This window comes from Homo sapiens, chromosome 4 (genome assembly GCF_000001405.40).
Source record: "Homo sapiens chromosome 4, GRCh38.p14 Primary Assembly".
In the NCBI taxonomy this organism is placed as follows: domain Eukaryota; kingdom Metazoa; phylum Chordata; class Mammalia; order Primates; family Hominidae; genus Homo; species Homo sapiens.
Window position 1 is genome coordinate 150,410,543 of NC_000004.12, and position 15,177 is coordinate 150,425,719.

Below are 15,177 nucleotides of genomic sequence, written 5' to 3' on the forward strand. Positions count from 1 at the left end.
GATTTTAACTGGTAACCTTAGGACAATTCAACAAGAGAACGCTTCCTTTGCTATATTAATGCCACCTCCAGGCCTTGAGAAGCTTTCTGTTTCAACAAGGTATCAAAGAGAAGGTAATCTCCAAATAGGGATATTGTCTCTTATTCATCGAATCTAATAGTGCTGGTCCATAAGCAAGCACCCAATAAATACATGTTAAATGAATGAACTATTATAATTTGAATCAATTATGTATATTATGTATCTTTTGGCTAAAACAAAATGCTCTATTTTTAAAGGTCAACTTTTAGTGATTCTCCCCAGAGTATGGTTTTCTTTGTCTCTTATTCAACATGAAACTTGAAGGTTATAAGAGGCAGTATAATATGTAGGTCCAAACATTGACATTATATCATAAGAGACAGATGATGGGCATTCCGAACTCATAAATTTTTCTATTATTTGAAAGTATGAAAGCCTTTTTCTCATTTATATTTCTGATGCTGTATCTGAAATAAATTTTTTTCCTAGTTCAGGTAATAGTAGATAACAGGGACCAATCTCAGGGATATAATTAAGACTGCTTTGGTTTTACCCTGATTCCAACTGTTCAGAACAAAATATAATTTACTTCTCTGAAAAACTAATGAAATTTAGGTGAGTTTTCCTTCTAAAATATGTAGGATATTATCTTCTGTTCATAAGCCCATCCACTTAGCCAGTTTTCCAATCCTACATTTAGATCTTCATTACTTACAGAAAACTGAGGATAAGAGTCGTTGGGTGAGACAGTAGTTACAGTCCTCTAACACAAACAGGGAATGTAGCATTACTGGTTCACTACCAAAATCATGCTCCTAAAAATACCCTATCCTCTTGAATTAACAACCAAATACTTAAAAAAGACATGCTGGGTATCTTAAAATGAGTATGTCAGTTAATTAATTCTCTGATCCCCTGCTACCAACCGAGTATTGTATAATCTGTTATTATTCACTGTCCTATAGATCATCTGTTCTTGGTGCTGGTTTGTTCCAGGAAGAGGGACAGCTGCAACACTATATCCCTGTTCAACCTGAGGACCATCTGACTTTAATTGTAACACACAGCTTGATGTGGCTCTGGCTATGAGAAGCCGAAGTATCGTCTGTAATAATCTGGAAAAGCAGAAACCTGCCAACAGAGGGCTGAAAACAGGGATTGTGCTGTCTGGCTGCCTGACGGGCTGCAGGAAATATGATTAATGAGTAAGGTATAATGATATCAGGAACCCGATTAGCACCACAAAAAGGTCACAGATCAAAGTAGTATGCATTTCATGAGCTGCAATCATTGCATAAAATCTGTGGAATTGAAGTGGTAAACCAAAAAGAGGAGGGGGATGAAACTCTTATGTGACAATATGCTAACCAATACATAAGATACAATACTAACAATTTAGTCACTTGTAGAAAGTTAAAAAGAAATTACAAAATGAATCAATATAGACTATATTGTAAGGAAACTTTGTTCATCAGAGGTGTAAAATAAATATTTTGAATGAATGAATGAGGTATTAAATTCTTTCATAAAGGCACATATATGTAAAATCAAGTATCTTTCCTAATTATGAATTAAAATGACCAGATATATACTCAACTCTAAACTATGTTTGCATTTGAATTGCAGTGATTTTATATACAGTTCTGTTTAGGAATGTAAGCTAATTCAGAGTCTAAACAATGAAGACATCTATAAAACTCAAGCAGTAGGAATCACTGGGAAAAATATTAAGTAAACTCAATAATAATGTTATAACAAATGCACAGTTAATACTGCAAAATATTATTTGGTATATAACTTTACAATCATGCCCAAGTTTAGAGCGTGGGTAGCCAAAATCCAAATCTACTTGTAAAGCAATTACGTAAACCACAATCTTCTTTTCCTTAGTGCCCTTGTAAACCTGTCCCAAATAGACCTGGCTCTTCTGAGGTGAAGGCAGTGAGGGTAGAGATGGGAGGTACTGTCAAGAGAGCGGCTTGCCTTAACTTATGTAATTAAATTTTTTAATTGTCAAAATGTTGGTGAAAAACTTAATATATAACTTATTCAAATGTTTCTGCCTTTTAGAGCTCCTTTAAAGTGAAGTAAACATACTAACAAACTTCTTTATATTATTAATAATACTAACTATGGTAATGATTAACAGAAAACCGATTCCCTTGAGACTTAAAATTTCAAGTCATATTTGAGAAAAAGTGTGTCAATAAAAAAATGATCAGAACATGATTTTTTCTTAAAAGTATATTCACCAATAATGAGGATATTTTGTATCTTTTATATATTGTATAAATATTTAATATCTAATATTTAGTTAAAACATTTTTTAAATCGTGATTCAAAAGACACCATTAAAAAATAAAAAAAGGCTAGTTAAAAAATATTTTCAAAATATATGTTGGATAAATGACTTTTATGGAGAATACACAAAGATCTCTTACAATTCACTAATAAAAAGACAACCCAATTTAAAAACAGGCAAAATATTTGAATGGATACTTCACCAAAGAAAATATATATATATATGAGTAGCAAATAAGTCGGTGAAAAGATGGTTAACATTTTCATCATTAGGATAATGCAAATTAAAATAACAATGACCTACCTACTAGAATGGCTAAAATAAATAAGACTGACAATACCAAGTCTTGTTAAGGATAGGGAAAAACTGAAACTTCATACATTGTAGGAATACAAAATGGTAAACATTTTTATTATATGACCCAGGAATTCCCAGAAATCTACCCAAGAGAAATAAAAACAGATGTCCACACCAAGACTTATACGCAAATATTTATAATAGCCCAAACTAGAAAAAAAAGTCCATTAACTAGTAAAGAGATTTTAAAATGTGATATATCTATAAAATGGAATACTATACAGCAATACAAAGAAATTAACTACTGATATATGCACAACATGGATGAATCTCAAAAAACATCATGCTAACTGAAAGAAGACAGGCATAAAAAGACTACATATTGTATGATTCCATTAATATAAAATTTCTAGAAAAGCAAAACAGAGACAGAATCAGTGATTGCCTGGAGCCGGCAGTGGAAGCAGAGGCTGACTATAAAGAGGCCCAAGGAAACTTTTTGTACTCGTGAGTGTTCTAAAGCTGGAATGTAGTGGCAGTTACATAACTGTATACACTTACTAAACTCCTTGAATTGCATACTTTAAGAAGTTGAATTTTATTATATATAGATTGTACCTCAATGAATTTGTTTTAAAAGAAAAATCACTGAAAGAAAAAAGTTGTAGTATGAATGTAACTTCTATTCACTTTTGTGTATCCCTGGGGAAAAAAAACCACACACGACCATAGACACCTGCCGCATTTAAAGGTTTGACATTTCCTTCAGTATCTTTCAGAGCAAGTTTAGTCTTCATCTCTCAATCACAGAAACTTTGTGAGAATCTTTAAAAATTCTTGGGGTAAAAGTAAAATGCAACATGTTCCATAAGACTGTGATAGAATAATATTATTTACTATTTTCTGAGTGCCTACTATAAGCCAGATAATATTCTAGGCATTTACATACATAATTACAATTGTTTACTCATAATTTCAAAATTACAAATGAAAAAACCAAAGCTCAGAAAGGTTAAACTGCTAAGGTCCCACAATCAGCAATGTGATTGATAAAGGATTGGAAAATCTGGTCAGATTCCAAAGCTTACATATTCTTTCCACTCCCCTGCATTGTTTCCAGTATATATAGAATGCAAAATTTCAATAATAATGAGACTGTAATAGGATCTGGAAGATAGGATTAATTGTTGGTATGAAAAGAAAGGAATGCCACATTAAAAAAATGCAATAATTTTCCTTTTTTACATGTGAAGTAAAAACAATGCAACTGAGATTTCACTTTTAATGTAGAGTGTGGTAAACATTCTACTTTTATTTTTTAAATTTATTTTATTTTTTATTTTTTCGAGACAGAGTTTCACTGTGTCACCCAGGCTGGAGTACAATGGCATGATATCAGCTCACTGCAACCTCTGCCTCCCAGGTTCAAGCGATTCTCCTGCCTCAGCCTCCCAAGTAGCTGGGATTACAGGCGCCTGCCACCACATCCGGCTAATTTTTGTATTTTTAATAGCAGTGGGGTTTCACCATGTTGGGCAGGCTGGTCTCGAACTCCTGACCTCAGGTAATCCACCCACCTTGGCCTCCCAAAGTGCTGGGATTACAGGTGCGAGCCACCGCACCCGGCCAAGATTCTACTTTTAAATACTAAGAATAAAGCTCCCTGATTCCAAACTTCTGTGAAACTTAAAAGGCAAAAAGGAAAAGTCATATTAGTGTCTCGAAAATAATACTGAACCCAGATAATGAAGGACACTAAAGAATCCACTAAAGAGGATACTAAAGAGTTGTTTGTAAGCACAAATTCAATGTGCTTTTAAGTTTTAACATTTTCATATTCTCAATATTACACGAAGATTTCCTTCAAATGATAGATACAGGACATAATTTGAAAATCTTGTTTCTATTATGAAAATGTGCAATGGCCTTCTAACCTGGAACACAAAATTATGTTCCTTTCCTGGAAAGAGAAGCTCATATTTGGAAAAACTTACAATCCCAATTTCACTTCTAACTTTCGCTTAAAATTTTGAATCATCATGTATATATGAATGTAACTTAACTTCTGCATAAAAGAAACTATTACTTTATATATCAATTCAATAACATTTCATAAAGTATATACAAGGATTCTTGAGCTATTATGTCACTTTCAGTTAGTCCTATCACCTACAGCTTTGTCCAGAAGAGCAAGGGTTAATGATTATACACCAACACATGAAAGATGCTTTGAGCAAAAGCTCATGACAGACAGAGTAGATGATTATTATCTTACCAATCTGTTTATGTGAACAAATTCTTCTGAGGTTTTGGCCCAAGGAGGAAGTTCGACATCAGACACTACTGTCCCATCATCCATCACTCCAAGATTATAATTATTGAAGTTGACAAACATCTCAGGGAGATAATAAAATTCAGGGATCAACTCCTATATAAAAATAAAAGACAATGTGATATTATAAACTGTAGGATACTGACTAGATATTCAAAAAAAGGACCTGATCATTTTCTATTGTTCAGAAGAACAAAATAAACACAGGGAATTTTTTTTTCTTTGCATATCATAGCCCTGTCACAGTTTCTCATAAGATAGACAGATCCTATCTAACCCAACTTAAATAAGATCTTACTGGTATAAATAACTTTCATAGGCTTTCCTTCATGACATGTCTCATAACCTCAAAACTCTTAAATACAAATATTTTAGTAATAACTGAGGTTTGACAAGATATAAACATAAATTACCATGCTATAACAATAATGACAACCTAACTAGATTTTTTATGAGGTATATTGAATTTTTGCCAGAAAAACCCAAAATCTTTCTAAGCATTAAAATGCCAATGTCTTGGTCTCTTCATCAACCAGGAAGATAATTTATTACAGTTTAGCCATGGTTTCTCAGTACCTTTTCCTCACATTTCAAAACGGTCAAGTTTAAAGATACCAACTCTGATAGAAGATCAAAATTTAAAATTAGTCTAGAAAATGACTTGCATGAGAAACTGAGTAAATTCAATATGTAACTTTAATAATGACATTTAATAAGCAGAAAAATGCAGCTGCTTAGCCTTTTGTGTGTAATAAACCCCATATATAACTATTTCAGAGGCTCTGTAGATCAGACTTGAAATCCAGTCTTGACATGGGTCAGTGGTTCAGTGGTCTTTCAGATATCCCCTCAGGGCCAGCAATGGCAGGCCCGGCTTTCCAAACAGTTGAGTAAAATAGGGAGGTCATCAGATTTTGGACAAGGTCAGTATGAACTTGCCAGAGCAGAGAAAAAAAATCCAGCAGGAATTAAGCTATTATCACCTCCATGATCCATGTGAAATGTTGCCTGACTTTGAATTGTACATCCTTTGTTTACAATCACATTAATTAACTAAGCAGGGTAGAAACGAGCTTGTTCTTCCAAATGGCTGACAACCACCTGACCATTAGACTTAAAAAGCATTTTAACTGAACAATTAAAAAAAAAAAAAGACCTTATTTAAAGCTTAGCTATAAATAAAATTAGATTATAATCACACAAAAATTTTAAGATTCTCATCTTCAAAAACAATGTATATAATTCTAATTGACAAAAGAGGAAAACACAGGTGTGTGTTATTTTATGAAGCAAAAAGCCATATCCAATTTGTCTGAGCTAACACTTATTGCATGGTATGAGTCATACTCTCATACCATAAATAAATAAACTCTTAATAAACCTTATTACATTTAATCTCACAACCACTTTACAAGGTAAAGTATCAATCATTTCTACTTAAAAAATGAACTAAGGCTCAAAAAAGTGCTTTGTCCAACGTTACCAGTTGGACAAAATATGGAAGTTGGACCAGGACTTGTTTAACTGTAAAGCCTGTGTCCTCAGTCATCAAATAAGCCTGGGTTCTACCTACACAGTATATGCAGTGCTAAACATTTTAAGTATAAGTTTTTAACTTATATACAAAGTGATTTTTAAAAAAGGAAAAGAAACTCTAAACTTTTAGCATTTTCATGATGAGAAAACAACTGGCTATCCTGAATACATATATCTTTCATATATATATATTTATCTCTCTCTATACAGCAATTGTTATATAAATAATTGAAAAAGAATTTTTGTAATGTGATTTATCCCAATAAATCACTATATAATTTTCTAGTATTAATTTGCCCAAGTGTGTATTCAATTAATTTCCAGCTTTGACAAATTTTACCAAAATATGTTATTTTCACTTCATAATACTTGTGCTACTGAAGATGAATGTTACTATTCCCAGGCCTTGTTTCACAATAAAGAGGGAGGAACATGCTTTCCTTGTTCATTGACAATCAAAAGCAGCATTTGCTTAATTAAATACTAATTATTCTCATTTCAGTAATACCCGCTGCCCACTTCCACCCCCAATTCACACTCTATCATGATTAGAAGATAGTGTCCTTCTTTTGCTGGTTATACCTACCATGCTCTTGTTTTATAATTCTCCTAGATTCAAAGCAATAATTATAATGGATGAATTTTAAGTGCTAGTTTTCCCCTGAGTTTTAAAATTTGAGAGATGCATCATTTCCATTGTAAATTAGAGATGCATAATAAAATATACCTAAATGCATAGTAAAAATATACCTAAAAAGTACTCTTACCAACACCAATTTGAGGAAGCAGAATGGAACAAATGACATTTCATAGCAATTGTTACAAAAATGAAGTTTTCAATCCTTCTAATATATAGTGTCAAAATATTATGATTTTGTATATTTGTCTGTATCTTCTACATCTGTTATTTCATTCAGGTTACTCAACAAATTGACAAAAAATTTATTTGCTCAAAACAAATATTCTCCACAAGTTTTTTTGGTTTTTTGTTTTTTTTTTTTTTGGTTAAGAGACAGGGTCCCACTCTGTCACCCAGGTTGGAGTACAGTAGTGGCACAATCATAGTTCACCGTAACCTCAAACTTTAATCGATCTTTCCACCTTAGCCTCCCAAGTGGCTAGGACTATAGGAATACACTACCATGCCTGGCTAATTTTTTAATTTTTTGCAGTGACAGGGTCTGGCTATGTTGCCCAGGCTAGTCTCAAACTCTTGGCTTCAAGCAATCCTCCCCAAAATATATTTTATTCCTGGCCCAATTTATTTTTAAATACACATTTATTATGAATTATTATGTTACTTTAATATTGACACCTTAACCTAAATATAAATTCAATTAGTTAAACTAGAAATTAAATGGAGCAAAACCACCCATAAAACAAACAAGAATTTTTAAATAAGTGATATGAAGAAAGCAATTTCAAACTTTTAAGTCTTTCAGCTACATAATATCTATCATGCTGGGAAGAAGGTAATAACCATCAGTTTCCATTTAATTACTATGGATTTTGTGATTTCCTAAGGAAACATTTTATGTAAATTTTGTACAATGGGCATTGTAAACATATTTCAAAATTAAAAATTTAAACAGTAAAAATTAAAAATTAGCTTTCAACATTTCACTTGAAATTTATCAAGATATGTATTTGTGTTTTACTCTATTTTTTCACCTCTCACTCCCTTCACCTTTAATTTTAAGAGAGCAGACAGGCATTTCCTTTCTCAAGAACATTTGCAGGGTCCAGAGCAGAGGCCTCTTGAAGGCATCTTTCTTTTCTGTCTTGTGTGAATCTCTAAGCAAACAGAGAGTATATGAGGTATCTAGGTGAAGGAGGAGTCAAATGTTAGTATTTTTAAAGAGAGAGAAGCCAAACAGGCATAAATTTTTTCCAAGAGTAGGGAAGCAAGTTCTCAAAATCTACAGTCAGCATTTTTTTTTTCCCCAGCCTGGGGGAAAGGAGAAGGGATTAAGAGGTTAGGCAGGAACCCAGAGGATGGGGAATGGTGAGCGGGTCACTATATGCCCATACAGTGCCTCTATGTGAAATAGAAGAAAGGTAACACTGCTAGGCTAATGCAGTCCTAAGAGAATTCAGTTTGGTAAATGGAGTAAGTACAGGCTGGATTTTAGCTTCCGTTCTTTCTCTCAATCAAGTGCCCTTTCATGAAGAACAATCTGCCTACTGTACATAGTGGCCCCATGCATGGTGCACATAGGGAAGCTAGTCCCTTGGCACCATGGTTTTTGGCATCAGCAAATATTTTCTAACAGTAACTTGGTATAATCATCAGAGCTGCCTGCCTTCGAAAGACCATATGTATCTTAGACAATAAAGATATGACTAATGAAGAAAACGATGGACTAAAGATGTGAAGGCTAGTTTTCTAGGTATCACACAAGCCTGGACTCTCATTCAAGCCTTGAGAAAAGAAGGTCCCTGCCCTACCAATCTAATAACTATGAAGGAATTTTTCAACAGCCTAATATGAAGAAGGGCTAAGTTCAAATTAGGATATTTCTTGTACACTTGAGTTGGTGGTTATAATTTTATACCTATGTCAATAATGGTAAAAAGTTAGCAATATATTCACTGATAATATCTTTTTTTTTTTTTTTTTTTTTTGAGATGAAGTCTTACTATGTCACCCAGGCTGGAGTGCAGTGGCGCGATCTTGGCTCACTGCAACCTCTGCCTCCTGAGTTCAAGCGATTCTCATGCCTCAGCTTCCTTAGTAGCTGAGATTATAGGCGCCTGTAACCATACCAGGTTAATTTTTGTATTTTTAGTAGAGACGGGGTTTCAGCATGTTGGCCAGGCTAGTCTCAAACTCCTGACCTCAGGTGATCTGCCTGCCTCGGCCTCCCAAAGTGCTGGGATTACAGGAATGAGCCACCAAGCCCAGCCATGATAATATATGTCTAGCCCAGGCACCGTGGCTAAGGCCTGTAATCCCAGCACTTTGGGAGGCCGAGGCAGAAGGATGGCTTGTTTCCAGGAGTTCAAGACCAGCCTGAGCAACATGGCAAGACCCGTCTCTACAAAAAAATTAAAAAATTTAGCCAGGTATGGTGGCATGCACCTGTGCCTGTAGTCCCAGCTATTCGAGAGATTGATGTGGGAAGACTGTGAGCCCAGGAGGCTGCAGTGAGCTGTGTTCACACTACTGCACTCCAGCCTGGGTGACAGAGTGAGACCCTGTCTCAAAAAAAATACATATATATTATACATATATGGTATATATATAAAGTATATATATAATACACATTATAGTATAAAGTATATATAATGCACATTATAGTATAAAGTATATATAATACACATTATAGTATAAAGTATATATAATACACATTATAGTATATATAAAGTATATATAATACACATTATAGTATATATAAAGTATATATAATACATATATAATATATAAAGTATATATAATACACATTATAATATATATAAAGTATATATAATACACATTATAATATATATAAAGTATATATAATACACATTATAATATATATAAAGTATATATAATACACATTATAATATATATAAAGTATATATAATACACATTATAATATATATAAAGTATATATAATACACATTATAATATATATAAAGTATATATAATACACATTATAATATATATAAAGTATATATAATACACATTATAATATATATAAAGTATATATAATACACATTATAATATATATAAAGTATATATAATACACATTATAATATATATAAAGTATATATAATACACATTATAATATATATAAAGTATATATAATACACATTATAATATATATAAAGTATATATAATACACATTATAATATATATAAAGTATATATAATACACATTATAATATATATAAAGTATATATAATACACATTATAATATATATAAAGTATATATAATATACATTATAATATATATAAAGTATATATAATATACATTATAATATATATAAAGTATATATAATATACATTATAATATATATAAAGTATATATAATATACATTATAATATATATAAAGTATATATAATATACATTATAATATATATAAAGTATATATAATATACATTATAATATATATAAAGTATATATAATATACATTATATTATATATAAAGTATATATAATACATAGATAATATATAAAACATATATAATATATAAAGTATATATTATACACATATATAATATAAATATATACATATATCATACATATTTTATATATATAATATAAATATATACTTATACATATATTATATATATAAAGTATAACATATAAATATATGTCATTTTATGTATATATTTATATATACATATATACACATACACAAAATGCAGGAAGAATTCAGTATGGACAGAAATACAAATAGAATGTAAATGTTATTTCTTATTAAAATAATAAAACTCATAAGAACACCTCTTAATTATTTGATTTAAACCTTAGGTAGAAATGAAGGGTGATGTAGCACATCATTATCACAAAAAAGAAACCACATTTATTTAGTTCTTATTCTTTTTTTGTTTGTTTAACAGAGAGCTTCAGTTTCACGTCACTGTCCTAGCTTCATCTACCTGTTGCCAACAACTTGAAGGAGTTTCTCCATAGCCCTTGATTCCTGAATTGTTCAACATATCAACAGCAATAGTCACAAATACATTGACTTAAGGAGTAAACAAGCAGCTTTTCTCTACAGACCACTGAGCACCCCAGGAAGGTGCAGCTCTCTGCTCCACCCCAGCGTCTTGGTGTCTGTGTCCAGCAGGAAGGACCTGGCAGGAGGCTGAATCCAAGCACTGCTTTCAGGCCACTCTATTCTCATCCCTGGATCCTCCAGGGAAATAAGGGGGAAAAAAAATGACTTTTCCTGCTTTCAAAATGGAGGGCCTTAAAATCAACCAAAGTTCCAGAACAAAAACAAAACACAGGAGCTGGCTGGGTGCACTGGCTCACACCTGTGGTCCCAACATTTTGGGAGGCCAAGGTGGGAGGACTGATTGAGTGCAGGAGTTCAAGACCAGCTTGGCCAACATGGCAAGACCCCATCTCTACAAAAAAAGTAAACAAAAATCAGTCGGGCATCATGGCATATGTCTGTAGTCCCAGCTACTCTGGAGGGTGAGGTGAGGACTGCTTGAGCCTGGGAGGGCAAGGCTGCAGTGAGCCGAGTTCATGCCACTGGCACCCTAGCCTAGGAAACAGAGTTAGACCTTGTCTCAAAACAAAAACCCAAAAAACCCCCCATCATCTGCAAAGCCATGTTGGGAGCACAACTGTTTCCCATAGGCTTTCTTTTTCCTTGCCCCATTGACTTCCAGAAGGTTTTCCCCTTACCCATCATTGTGACTTTTCTCATCTTTCACAATGGTGCAATTCAATAGGAAGAATTAACAACTAGAAAAGGAAGAACAACAACAACAAAAAATCTAACCCTATGAAAACTCTGCCTTCAACATAACTCCAGGGAGATGAACATTATAATACTGGCACTCCTGACCCACACTATCCTCTGCACCCCGTCCCTGACCACATCCTCCTCTCTGGACACTTAGACATCAGGTTCCCCAAGGGACAAGGTTCCATGAAGAGCACCCTGAGTTCCTTAGAAGAACTGGCACTGCTCCGGCTCCTCTAACAACTGAGACTGGCACTGTGGGCACCACCAGGTGAGCCTCTGGAACCCACCTGAGGGCCCAAAGGGCTTCTTCATGACCTGGTGGCCAGCTGGGCACTGTTCTTTCTGGTAGACCTGCATGTGCTGCGGTTTGCCCTGGAACTTGCCCTGCAGCCAGGCTGTACTGAACTCCACCACGTGATCCACCAGGGCCTCCTAACATGGAGGCACTCAGGACTGAACCAAGAGAAAGGGGATGGATGCCAGCTCTGTACAAGACTTCATTCTTAATGACGTTCCCTAGCCCTGAGAAGTATTTCTGGTCCAATGGTGTATAAGTGACAGGCTGAGCCTGGCCTAGAGCTTCCAAGGCTTGTCCTCAATGGAACTTCTCAGACAGGATGTCACAGGTGGGTGTGACCTCTGGGGAAGAGCTCCAAGGCATCTGACAATTATAAAGTGCCAGGAAGCTACCACCACCAAAGTACAGGACCAACCTCGGGGCAGGGTCCCTCCGGTCCCCCTTCTTGTTGGCTTTCTTGGCTCTGGAGAAGTCGTTCACCCAAACGCTGCCAAGCAAACAAGAGCTGACACGCAGCCGCCTCCCAGCATCTCCTGTAGGGGTGTCTCCCTTCAAACATTCCTAATCATCCTCTCCCTGGGGGACGAGCTCTGCGGACTGTGAGGAGGCGTCAAGGGTCTTCTGCCCACTTGCTCCCGGGCCTGCTTTGAGTCCACAGTCCCTTCCTTCTGCGCTTCTTTTTGTGGAGGCTCTGGCGGTGAGCTGTTGCCAGCGGGCCCCATTTCTTCATCTGGATCAAATCTAAGGAATAATTTCTTTCCATGGACCTGGGTGTCCTGGAGCCACAGAGACTGGAGGCTGGTGGGCTATACTTCTTACTGTTGCTCCCTGTCTTTACCACCTGCTTGCCCACAAAAGGAGAGACCGAATGGTGAAATGTCCTCACCAACAGCCCTTCTGGCATCCCAGCTCCGGGTGGGCAGCCCCTTGGCCCGACCCAGCACCACTGCACGCCCCGCACAGCAGCTCCAGCACCAGGCAGAGATTTCTCAGCGCCACGGCACACGTGGGCTCCGTCCCCTTAGGGGACGCCCCTGTAGGTTAGTTCTTACTCTTTAGAGAGAACTGTTTTAGGGTCTGGGATACATAAAATGAGTCCCCCCCACCGCCCGAGAATACAGATCTAAATCAGTAATAGAGAAAGAATATATTTTTAGGAGAAAATACGTTGTGAAAACAACTAGCACTCCAGAAGTTCAAATAAGAAAATTATGACTAAAAGTTGGGGTGGCCAGAGAAAGCTTTAGGGAAAAGATTGTAATACATTGTATTTCGCTAACACAGAACTCATCAATCTGTATTATAACTGCTTGTTTGTTTCTATCTCCCTCTAAATGGAAGGATCCATGAAATTGAGGACTTTACATGTGAATTTAAAGTATGACAAGCATTTCTAAGAAACTAATAGTGAGGAGAGAGATTATTAAGATTTTACATATAGTATGAAGAACAACATCAAATTAGCACAATTAAATAAGAGAGCGAGCATATATACAGCAAATCCTCACCTACTGTCATCGATAGGGTCTTGAAAATTGCAACTTTATGTAAAATGGCATATAACAAAACCAATTTTACCACAGGCTAATTGATATAAATGAGTTAAGTTCCCACGGCATATTTTGGTTGCCACAAAAACATCACCAAACTTCTAAAAAGAGACCCAAAACACTTCTACTATTAAATATTGAAATAAATGTGAGCTATATGTACATCTAAGAAAGATTAACAAAAATAAGATAATTATTTACCCATTTATTCCACTTCAGGGTTGCAGGTGGCCTAACACCTACTGCGCCAACTCAGGGCACAAGTGAGGAAACCATGGTGCCTTGGACAGGACACCAGGTGCCATCCCATAGCAGGGAGCACGTGCGCGCGTGCACACACGCACACACACACACACACACAGAGTCAGATGGGTACCAGGTAGACACACCAGTTCACCTTATGTGCACATCTTTGGGATGTGGGAAGAAACCAGAGTACCTGGAAAAAGCCCACACAGACATGGGAAGAACATGCAAACACCACACAGAAAGTGGCCCCGGCCATGAATTGATGTTTTTTTTCTCACCAGCGATATAACAAAACATTGAATGAAATGACGTTATTTGAGGACATGCTGTACTTAAACTATATTGCAGTCTCATCACAAGAAAATCTGCATGAATAAGTCGGTGATGAGAGTGCAATACTCTCTTAATACGAAATAAACATGCTGAACTCAACTGATATATACCAATATGTAACAAAATAAATAAGCATAATACAGCCAAAATCTTACTGTGGATGACAATGGCATTTAAGTTATACAGTAGAATTCCATTTTAATACTAAAAGCATCTTTCTAAGAACCATATCTTGATACAATACCAAATATTACAGTTCAAAATTATCTCTTTTGACAGATGAAATGTAGTAACAGAGTCAAAGATTATGCCTTTCTAATACTTTTAATGCACATTTACAAAGTGAAGTATGTTTTATATTCATCAGAACAGAACAGTCAGCTCTGGATAAAAAACACATGTTCAGCAATTCTTTAAAACATCAGTGGAAAATGATAAGTAAACAACACTGACAGAAGACAGATACATTTACAATTCACGTTTTCTTCTGGCTTGCTCAAAATAATTTTAATCTCTATCACTTAATTAGGTAGATGGGTCTTAGAGGCAGGTAACATGGCCAACATTTAGTGTATCATCTCCTAAGATAAAAATTTGAAAGGTTCAACCAGAGGTTACACCACAGTTCAGGATAAGCTCATTGCTTTGATCACAAATCCCAAGGCTTTCATGGCATAATGACAAGGATTGGTTGTGACCACACATATGCTTTAGTTTTCTTTATTAAGGTATAATTTCCACTGATATGAACAACCTTTGCAGCCAGGCTGTATGATTCTCCTTTTAATAGTCACCAATTCTATGCACTGAACTAAACCCACCACTTCAATATATTGGGGCAAACATACC

The 15,177-nt window shown here is 35.1% G+C and overlaps 1 protein-coding gene and 1 pseudogene across 11 annotated transcripts in view; both read right to left on the reverse strand.

The window, feature by feature from the left end:
- The window catches only part of LRBA (LPS responsive beige-like anchor protein), a 751,293-nt gene that overhangs the window by 146,108 nt on the left and 590,008 nt on the right, over positions 1-15,177 (reverse strand). For all 11 annotated transcript variants that reach the window (XM_047416462.1, NM_001367550.1, NM_006726.5 and 8 more), the window contains one exon: positions 4,896-5,048. In XM_047416462.1, the coding sequence (XP_047272418.1) occupies positions 4,896-5,048 (153 nt within the window). The remainder of the gene's footprint in view (positions 1-4,895; positions 5,049-15,177) is intronic.
- On the reverse strand, positions 11,724-13,184 carry LOC100419161 (nei like DNA glycosylase 2 pseudogene; annotated as a pseudogene).